Source organism: Homo sapiens, chromosome 3 (genome assembly GCF_000001405.40).
Source record: "Homo sapiens chromosome 3, GRCh38.p14 Primary Assembly".
NCBI classification, from domain to species: domain Eukaryota; kingdom Metazoa; phylum Chordata; class Mammalia; order Primates; family Hominidae; genus Homo; species Homo sapiens.
The window spans coordinates 59,625,016-59,636,402 of record NC_000003.12 but is presented as its reverse complement, the minus strand read 5'-3'; the positions used below and the strand labels follow the sequence as shown (position 1 = coordinate 59,636,402).

General features: G+C 41.1%; 1 long non-coding RNA gene across 1 annotated transcript in view; it reads right to left on the bottom strand.

The window, feature by feature from the left end:
- Positions 1-11,387, bottom strand: part of CFAP20DC-DT (CFAP20DC divergent transcript) — a 724,471-nt gene that overhangs the window by 174,908 nt on the left and 538,176 nt on the right. The gene's annotated exons all lie outside the window — the stretch shown is intronic.

Genomic DNA, 11,387 nt, shown 5'->3' with positions numbered 1-11,387 from the left:
ATGCCCTTATTCCTGGGAAAAACCATCTGGAATCTGCATCTGCTGTCCTCCCACCCTCACCTGTGGTCACAGCAGTCTCCCAGGTCCTGTGTCAATAGGCCCCAGCCCCATTGCTTATGGCCTCTGTTGACATTTGCTTTTGTAACCCCCTTCATTCTGAAACTTTACACCTCTTTGATGAGCCCATCATCAACCAGGGCACCAGCCCTTTCTGGTTGAGGTCTGTATGACAATGCCACCTGCTTGGTGGGTACAGGCACAGCCTACTGCCTTCTAGCTAAATAGAGAGGTTAGGGGAATAAACCTCACACTATGGTGATCTTAAAACTTGTGCAAACATTCAGATGAATAGATCCAGGCATTCATGAACCCTGGAATGAGGTTTTTGAAGCTGGGCCTCAACCTAGAAACTTGGGATCACTTTTAAGAGTATATTGAGATGATGTCAGTCCCAATAAAAGTAGAGGACCGAGAAGTAGATTAACTCACATGCCCTGAGAGACATGGCAACTGGACTGAGAAACTGCTGATTGATGGAAGAAGTCAGATCAAATAAGTGACAACCTGTCACAGCCAAAATAGAGTGGCGGTTAACAGGAAATCTTCTTTCTCAGTGGGACAGGTCAGGCAAAGAGCCTGATGGTCAACTGAGAGTGTATGAAATATCATTGGTAGAGCAGCTCAAACATCTCTGCCTAGGTGTATTGGTAGGACTGTTTGGGAACTCTTTGGCTACAGAAGTCTGGGCCATCACAACATTTTTGAGCTGCAACAGTGCCTTGGAGCTCAGCTAACAGAATGTCCACATTCTAAAAATTCAGAATCAGACTGAGAGAGGAAATCTGCCATCCACTTGGACTCACAGTTCCTAGAGAACAACTTTTAGAGTAAAAAACAAAACTTTATAGATTAGTTTATATGAATAACTTGGGAATCTTGTTAAAATACAGATTCTGATTCAGGAGATCTGAGTTACAACCTGAGATAAACAGCAAATTCCCAAGTGATGCCAAGACTGCTGGTCTCATGACTGCAATTCTCCAAAAGTACAGTGGAAGTTTAGGTGGAATGTAGTAAACTGGGAGGGGATGGTAAAGCTAACCTCTTCTGGGTCAGCAGGAGTAAGTCCCTGGGGAGCCCAGAGAGAGGGCCTGACTCCTGGAACACTTTAAAACCAAACTGCATTGATGATGCTCAAAAGAAATTCCCCTCTTCAATGCATTTTAAATGAGCCAGCAAAGGATTTCAAAGGTCACCCTTCTTTTACGGTTGATTCTTACAAAATCATGAACTATATTTTCTAATGAGCCCAATTAGAACATTTCTCCTATGGAAGATTCCCATGGGGGCAGGTGAGAGCAAGGGGAATGAAAATAACTTTGCCATGAGTGGTTGAGATTCCAAACCCAGGTTCCCTGTGATGGCTCAGGCAAAATGCTAGGAGCTCTCTGACAATTTTATCCAGAAGCCAAGTCTAAGGTCACTCGGTAGAACCTTGTTCTTTGCACCAGAAAACACAGAAGTAGGGTGGCTCAGCTGGCCAGCTGGGAATCAGACTAGTCACAGCTTAAAAATTTCCTCTCAGGTTTTGTATCTGGTTATCAGATGCTGCCATCCTAAGGGAGAAACAGAACCATAAGGTACCCTCAGCCCTGTCCTTTCAGGAGTGTCTGCTCACAAATGCATACTGCCAAAGATCATCCTCTCCTAATTACAATTCCCTTTTCTGTGGGCATTATCTCTGGCTCGCCTATATTGAGCCCCAGAAACGTGCTGTCTGATCAGCACCAGAACTCTGAGACATATTGTCTGCAGAGCAGGGCTTCTCAGACTTGGCAATCGTCACATTTTGGGTTGATAATTCTTGATTACGGGGCTCACGATCGAGCAGCATCCCTCACCTCTACCCACTAGAAGCCAGTAGCAGTACCCCTCCAAGTCATGACAATTTAAAATCTCTCCAGACATGGCCAAATGTCTTGTAGGGTGGGGGAACAAATTGCCCTTGGTTGAGAACCACAGTCTATAGTCGAACTGCAGGGATTCAAATTTAAGCTCTTGTGCTTCTTAGCCATGAGAACTCGGGCACAACACTTACCTCTCAGACATTAGTTTCCTCATCTGCAAAAAAGTAAGGTAATTTAACAATAGCATCAATCATAACACCATTACCTCCTAAGGTCATTGGGATGATTAAATGAATTAATGCACACATAGATCTCAGAACAGTGACTGAAACAGAGGAAGGGCCAAAAAAGCATCTGCTACATTACCAGCTTAGACTCCTTCACTATCATTGTCACCAAACCTGATGGAGACCCATCATTCAAACCACAAACCTCATGGGGCCAGTTTGCCAATTTTACAAACCTTGACATTTAAGCACCTTAGCTCTCTCTCTCTTCTTTATCTGAGAGCAAGGTAAGTGAACAGCATAAGAAATTTTTTCCGTCAAGTTCAAAAGAAACAGTGAGAAAGAAAGTACAGAAGAGTGTGAATTGAATTCCCAAGGAGTCTACATATGAAAGATTCTTTTTATGCCTAAGGATTTTATATTCAGTTTCCCTAGAAGGGAAGACAGATAAACTCTCCTGGCACAAGCTGAAGCCACATTCCCTCCATCCAGCCTCCCCAGCCCCCATCTGTCTGTCTCTGTCTTCCTTACACACACACACACACACACACACACACACACACACACACACACACATGCTTAGGAGAAACAGGAACCAGAGGAGATTCAGACATTTATTTTGCTTTGGCAAATCTACCACTGACCTAAGAAGCCAGGACTTTTGTTTGCTTTAGAATCTCAGATGGGAAAAGGCACCCTAAGTTATTTATTTGTTTTTTCATGAATTCTTTTTTATTCTGTACTTAGAGTCAGTCAGGGATGGCAAGCATGTGGTGTCGGCCTGTAGGGCAGCTGTGTACATCTGGGAGACATTCATAGTGTGAGCACTGACTCTGTCATTCCCCAGCATAGAAGGAGCAATGTAGCTGGTGCTTCTGTGCCCCTATGAGCAGCCCAAATTCCAAAAATTCCATGGGAAGAAGGGACACGGCTGGCTGAGCACACTGTGATTCCCACCACAGCTGAGTGCAGGGATCCTGGGGTGAAAAATGAGATTGTAAACATCACCCTGGCAGCATTTTCATCAGATGAAGAGATGGAAGGCCTGCACGATCTCAAGGGAGCCTGGGAAAATCAACACAATGCCTGCGTATATTTTCTAGATGGGCAAAATAAAAACAAACCAAAAAAGAGGTTTAAGGAAGACGATGATGCAAGAAAGCACATCAGCACAATAAACAAAAGATTGCCAAGCTACAATTGCAGGTTGGAGGTTAGGCAAATTGTCATACATAACAAACAAGCAATTTAAATGACTCCTGGACAGTCTCAGAGGCATCATTTGAAGTACCACCTTGAATTTATTTTGCAGCAGTTGCCATGCCAACAGGAAGACTGTATTCCAAAGGGTAAATGGACACTCCACCCCCAAGCTGCCTTGCACCTGATGCTTCAACTAAGCTGGGTTTCTCACTGCTCCCTAGGCCTGTCACGCCTCCTCTCACACCCGAAACACCTTCAAAAGTTATCTCCGAGGTGCAGTCTTGTGTATGTGCAATCTCTCCCTCTCCTTCGAACATTCTGCCCACACTCCTTGCAATGCTGCCTGCTGCCTCTGGCCAGACCATGAGCCCCTCATCCCTGACATGGCAGGAAGTGCCTTCAGTCCATCCTTGAGCCTAGCCCAGTGCCTGAAATACAAAAGAAGGTGTGAGAAGTTGAGATGGTGAAGGCTCAGACATCACACCTACTGCATGGTGTGGTTTTCAGGTGATTGTCGTCTTATTTTTTTAAGCAACACATAAAGCACCAAGGAAAACAACTCATGCCAGGGTGGATGCTTAATGAATATTTGTTGAATGGCTAAACAAACGAATAAACAAATGGATGTCAGATGAATTGGGTTTTTTAAAATAACTCTCTCTTTACTTATGTGTAAAGTTTGCCTATTGAAGATCAGGCACCATTTCACAGCAGAATTAGTTACACGAATCACAATTGCTAGTTACCGAATGTTAGCTATCTGCCAGGTCTTCTTTGTTTGTTTTTGAGACAGAGTCTCAGTCTGTCATGCAGGCCGGAGTGCAATGGCATGATCTTGGCTCACTGCAACCTCCGCCTCCTGGGTTCAAGTGATTCTCCTGCTTCACCCTCCTGAGTAGCTAGGACTACAGGCATGTGCCACCATGCCCTGCTAATTTTTGTATTTTTAGTAGAGACGGTGTTTCACCATGTTGTCCAGGCTGGTCTCGAACTCCTGACCTCGTGATCTGCCCACCTCAGCCTCCCAAAGTGCTGGGATTACAGAAGTGAGCCACTGAGCCCAGCCCAAGTCTTGTTTTAAGCTCCTTGCTCACATTCTTTCCCATTGTCACAATACACTACAAGGTTGCTTCTATTTCAGTGAAGGAAAGTGAGGCTCAAGAAGGGAAAGTAAACTACCACCACCACTACACTACAGTAATATAGGAGGCAACAGAGGGGGCTTTGAATTTGAATCCAGGTCTGTGTGGTCTCCAGGCCCTTTTCTCAGCCCTTGCAGAAAGGCTAAGTGCCCAGGGCCCAGAATTAGACAGACCTGGGCTCAAATCCCAGCCTTGCCTTGTGCCAGGTACATAACATTGGGCAAACAACTTGAGCTATCTCACCGTTAGCATCCTGTAATGTAAAATGATCACCACATTCCTAAAGGTGTTGATGGGGAGAGTGAGTGGGATCATGTACTCAGAGCACTTACTCCATGCCTGGCACAAAGATGTTGGTGAATGGGAAAACAATCATGTTTGGTGATCTTACGACTTTGCATAAACAGAACTTACTTCCCATTTTTGGAAATGTAGGCTATAGACCACTCAAAGACAAGCATCAGCCTATATTTACATGATTCCAAACAACCACATGGACATTTAAATAGTGGGCACTCCTGTTTGCAAATGTCCCTCCCTCTTTTTCTCTGGAGACAAAAGGAATTAATGCTATTATAAGTGTACTTGCTTAGTTACACACACATACATACATGTTTATTTCTATTTGGCTTATTTATGTTTTTTTCATGTTCTAGAATCTTTATTTTTCAGCCACTGATGAACAGAAGGATCTCTTTTCTATCTTTAGCATACCTTCCTGTCTTGCTTCATCTGAGCTTCTGTTTACATCACAGACATATATCAACACTATTTCTGACTTCTCTCGTAATTAGTGGCCTAGTTTGAAGCAGAAGCAAGGAAGTTATCTTGGTAGGTGGAGACAGGAAGAAAGAGAAAATAGGGAGAGAGAACCAGAATCCTTGGACCACCTCCCAGTTTCTGCCATTTGTTCGTGAGGTATTTGTGAATTTGGACTTGCCTTGGAATTTTGGGGTAAGGGGAAGTTTTAGGACCATCCAGTGCTGAAAAATTTCTTCCAATGTATCTAGGATTCCAGGACTCCAATGTTGAATGCTTTTGTACTAATCAGCTTGGAAAACAACAGTGCTCAACAGCCCTTGAAATTTCTCATTTTGGACCTATCTCAGGTGAATCAGCTGACAGCACACACAGCAACACAAAATTTTGATAGGAGACTCCTCAAAGGTTCTGTAACTAAACGTAATTGTGCAACCAGTAAGGACCTCCTGGCTGGAGGTACCTGCTGCTTGATTTCTGCATCATCATTTAACTTCCTTAGAAAGCACTGAGTGGGAGGAGAAGCACATGAATTCTTCAAGGGAGATTTAGGGGATGAGTATAAGACACTTGAGAAAAGAGGGTCTGGGCCTTGGAGCAAGTGAAGCCAACCAGGATCAGCTGAGTGCAGCTTGTTTGGGAAGTCAGTCTTCCAACTGTGGAAGTGGACTTGCTAGTGATGACACATGGACACTTGATTATATAAGCACCCTTGTAAACAGAATGGATTCCTGGGAGTCAGAGGCCACTTTGTATACTTCTCAGGTGACTGTCCTGAGAAATTTCCTGTGATTACCCAGCACAGCACAGTGAATGTAGTAGTTGATCAATAACTATTGCCTGGAATATATGATGTTTTTTGAAGTGAAGATTTTACCTCCATATAAACAGTTGGAGACAACATAGTAGAGAATGTATCACAATGAAGAGATCAGAAAGAATCAGAAAGGTCGCCTTCAAATCCCCACCTTACCACTTACTAATTATACAACCTTGATATTTCCATCTATAAAATGGGGATAACATGAGGACCTACTTTGCATAGGGGAGCGAGGATTGAAATATGAATAAAACACATTGCATAGTGCCTGGTACATAGCGGTGCTCAAAAGATGTTAACTAAGGCTAGCGATTACAGTGAAAAATAATCATTTTTCTGTCAATTTCAATCAATTGCTGTGGTTTGCCTACAGAAAAACCATTACAGTGTTTATTAGGTAGAGGAGGTGTCCAGTTTTTCATTTTGACCAGGGAACGAGTCAATTTGTCTTTTGCAAAGACAGCTTTAAGGTGGATATAATAATAAACACATGTTTGTTTGTTTTTATTATACTTTAAGTTTTAGGGTATATGTGCACAACGTGCAGGTTTGTTACATATGTATACATGTGCCATGTTGGTGTGCTGCACCCATTAACTCATCATTTACATTAGGTATATCTCCTAATGCTATCCCTCCCCCTCCCCCCACCCCACAACAGGCCCCAGTGTGTGATGTTTCCATTCCTGTGTCCAAGTGTTCTCATTGTTCAATTCCCACCTATGAGAGAGAACATGCAGTGTTTGGTTTTTTGTCCTTGCGATAGTTGCTGAGAATGATACTTTCCAGCTTCATCCATGTCCCTACAAAGGACATAAACTCATCATTTTTTACGGCTGCAGAGTATTCCATGGTGCATATGTGCCACATTTTCTTAATCCAGTCTATCATTGTTGGACATTTGGCTTGGCTCCAAGTCTTTGCTATTGTGAATAGTGCTGCAATAAACATGCGTGTGCATGTGTCTTTATAGCAGCATGATTTATAATCCTTTGGGTATATACCCAGTAATGGGATGGCTGGGTCAAATGATATTTCTAGTTCTAGATCCCTGAGGAATCGCCACACTGACTTCCACAATGGTTCAACTAGTTTACAGTCCCACTAACACTGTAAAAGTGTTCCTATTTCTCCACATCCTCTCCAGCACCTGTTGTTTCCTGACTTTTTAATAATCACCATTCTAACTGGTGTGAGATGGTATCTCATTGTGGTTTTGATTTGCATTTCTCTGATGGCCAGTGATGATGAGCATTTTTTCATGTGTCTGTTGACTGCATAAATGTCTTCTTTTGAGAAGTGTCTGTTCATATCCTTCACCCACTTGTTGATGGGGTTGTTTTTTCTTGTAAATTTGTTTGGGTTCTTTGTAGATTCTGGATATTAGCCCTTTGTCAGATAAGTAGATTGCAAAAATTTTCTCCCACTATGTAGGTTGCCTGTTCACTCTGATGGTAGTTTATTTTGCTGTGCAGAAGCTCTTTAGTTTAATTAGATCCCATTTGTCAATTTTGGCTTTTGTTGCCATTGCTTTTGGTGTTTTAGACATGAAGTCCTTGCCCATGCCTATGTCCTGAATGGTATTGCCTAGGTTTTCTTCTAGGGTTTTTATGGTTCCAGGTCTAACATTTAAGTCTTTACTCCATCTTGAATTAATTTTTGCGTAAGGTGTAAGGAAGGGATCCAGTTTCAGCTTTCTACATATGGCTAGCCAGTTTTCCCAGCACCATTTATTAAATAGGGAATCCTTTCCCCATTGCTGGTTTTTGTAAGGTTTGTCAAAGACCAGATAGTTGTAGACGTGTGGCATTATTTCTGAGGGCTCTGTTCTGTTCCATTGGTCAATATCTCTGTTTTGGTACCAGTACCATGCTGTTTTGGTTACTGTAGCCTTGTAGTATAGTTTGAAGTCAGGTAGCATGATGTCCCCAGCTTTGTTCTTTTGGCTTAGGATTGACTAGGCAATGTGGGCTCTTTTTTGGTTCCATATGAACTTTAAAGTAGATTTTTCCATTTCTGTGAGGAAAGTCATTGGTAGCTTGATGGGGATGGCATGGAATCTATAAATTACCTTGGGCAGTATGGCCAGTTTCACGATATTGATTCTTCCTACCCATTAGCATGGAATGTTCTTCCATTTGTTTGTATCCTCTTTTATTTCATTGAGCAGTGGTTTATAGTTCTCCTTGAAGAGGTCCTTCACATCCCTTGTAAGTTGGATTCCTAGGTATTTTATTCTCTTTGAAGCAATTGTGAATGGGAGTTCACTCATGATTTGGCTCTCTGTTTGTCTGTTATTGGTGTATAAGAATGATTGTGATTTTTGCACATTGATCTTGTATCCTGAGACTTTGCTGAAGTTGCTTATCAGCTTAAGGAGATTTTGGGCTGAGACAATGGGGTTTTCTAGATATACAATCATGTCGTCTGCAAACAGGGACAATTTGACTTCCTCTTTTCCTAAATGAATACCCTTTATTTCTTTCTTCTGCCTGATTGCCCTGGCCACAACTTCCAACACTATGTTGAATAGGAGTGGTGAGAGAGGGCATCCCTGTCTTGTGACAGTTTTCAAAGGGAATGTTTCCAGTTTTTGCCCATTCAGTATTATATTGGCTGTGGGTTGGTCATAGATAGCTCTTATTATTTTGAGATACGTCCCATCGATACCTAATTTATTGAGAGTTTTTAGCATGAAGGGCTGTTGAATTTTGTCAAAGGCCTTTTCTGCATCTATTGAGATAATCATGTGGTTTTTGTCATTGGTTCTGTTTATATGCTGGATTACATTTATTGATTTGTGTATGTTGAACCAGCCTTGCATCCCAGGGATGAAGCCCACTTGATCATGGTGGATAAGCTTTTTGATGTGTTGCTGGATTCGGTTTGCCAGGATTTTATTGAGGATTTTTGCATCGATGTTCATCAGGGATATTGGTCTAAAATTCTCTTTTTTTGTTGTGTCTCTGCCAGGCTTTGGTATCAGGATGATGCTGGCCTCATAAAATGAGTTAGGGAGGATTCCCTCTTTTTCTATTGACTGGAATAGTTTCAGAAGGAATATAAACAGATGTTATACAATAAATCTCTTTATCAGAGAAAAGTATGGTCAGTGGTGTACTAGTAAATGTTCAACAATTGACTCCCCAACAGTATGCATTTATACAAATATAAGTTTATTACAAATTTTACTGATAAAAGGACATATATCATGTAAGTTATAAATAACAAAATATACAATATTCTGTAAGTTCCAATTGATTTTCTCAGACTGCTTTCGTTTTTTGCTGAACTCATTATAATTTCTTAGCCATTCGACCTTGATTTAACATACAGTTTTAGTATAATAGCTACAGATGCAACACACTTTTAAGTGCATTATCAACATTGCGATAGACAACAAAGAATCAAGCCCTAATTTGCGGCCCTTGCCAATTTCCTGGTGTAAATACTCCCACCTCAGCCAGTTTCAGGTTACCAAAAGGATGTCAATGAATGTGGCAGTGAGAAGATATGGGCAGTAGCATGCTGTTATATGGTATTTTACTATACAGATAGGATAGATTTAAATAACTTCAGAAGCAGAGATAATAGTGAAATGTAGTAAAGTAATTAAGGAGTGATGGGTATTCAGTTATAACCTTTGTTTCTAATGTAATTTATTTAATTTTAAGTTTAATTTAATTTTTAATTATGGCAATGTTTAACAGTAGGCTCATAACATTTCTGAAAATTAAAGAATCAGCTCTGCCAGCAGGAGCCGGTGGCAGCAGACCACTTTGCAAGAGAAGCAGCTGTCTGACCCCCAGCTCTACTGTTTCTATGCCTAATGGAACTTTTCAGTTAATTGTATTCTGTTTCAAAATATCACCTCACCCATTTGATTCCTTTCCATTCTTCCCTTCTTGTCTAATGAGGTTCCATTTTCTGTTCTTCTTCCTTACCTCTTTTGTCACCTTCCTAGTCAAAGCCCACCACCTCCTACTCAGACCACTGTGGGACCCTCCTGTTTCCCGCCTCCTGTCTTCCTCTGTATCATCTAGATGCTTTTCTCAGATTCATTTTAGCCACATGCTTCTTTAGGCCAGGTTCCTGCTCCACAACCTCCAGTGGTCCTTTAAAAGCTTCCTGGATAGAGTTTGACATTTTTGGAAGTTCTAGAGATGGACGATGGTGATGACTGCAGAAAAATGTGAATGTACTTACATCACAGAACTGTATACTTTAAAATCATTAAAATAACTTTTACGTTATACATATTTTACTATAACAAAAAAATCTTAATCAAGGCCCTAACCAATCTGCCTTTGCTTAGAGCTTTAAAAACTTATCTTTCATTTCTATTATTGCTGCTACTAACTTATGCTCACTGCCATAAACTAAATGTTTGCCCCACTCCACCAATTCATATGTTGAAACCTAATCTCCAATGTGATGGTATTTGGAGGTAGGATCTTTGGGAGGTGATTGGTCATGCAGAAAGAACCCTCATTAATGGAATTATTCCCTGTATAAAAGAGGCCCTAGAAAGCTGCCTTGACCCTTCTGGCATATAAGAAGACAGCAAGACGATGCTATCTATGAACAAGGAAGTGGGTCCTCTCCTGACACTGAATCTACCAGCGCTTTGAACTTAGACTTCCAGCCTCTAGAACTACAAGAATATAAATTTCTGTTGTTTATTAGCCACCCGGTATATGGTAGTTTGTTATTGCAATCTGAATGGACTAAGATACTTACTGAACCAGTGTACTGGGCACTGTGCTGAGCAGTCTACAATTAATCCTCAGTATAACCCTGTAAAGTAAGTACTTTTACTGCCCCCATCTCATGGTGGGAAAACCAAGAGTTAAACACCCTGATGAAGATCATACATCCCAGAATGTTGCTATGATGCTTGTATATGCAACTGTAACAGCTCAGACATCACCATTTCTCTGTGATATCTTCCCATCTCAGGGCTAGGAACAGGGTGACGTAAGTGAGGCACTCCTCTTGGGCACAAAATTTAAGGGGGTAGTCGAGATAAATGATATTTTTAAGGCAATGACTTAAAAAATCAAAAGCAATGCAAAAATCCAATGATGAACAAAATATCAAATTTTAAATAAGGACACTACAGATGGCCCTCCATGCATTGAACATATTCAGAAAAAAACAATAACAGCAAGAAAAAAATTATAAAAATTACAATCTAACCATAGAATTTACATTCTGTTAGGTATTATAAGTAATCTAGAGATGATTTAAAGTATATACAAGAATGTGCATAGGTTGTGTGCAAATACTATGCCATTTTATGTAAGGGTTTTGAGCATCACAGGATTTT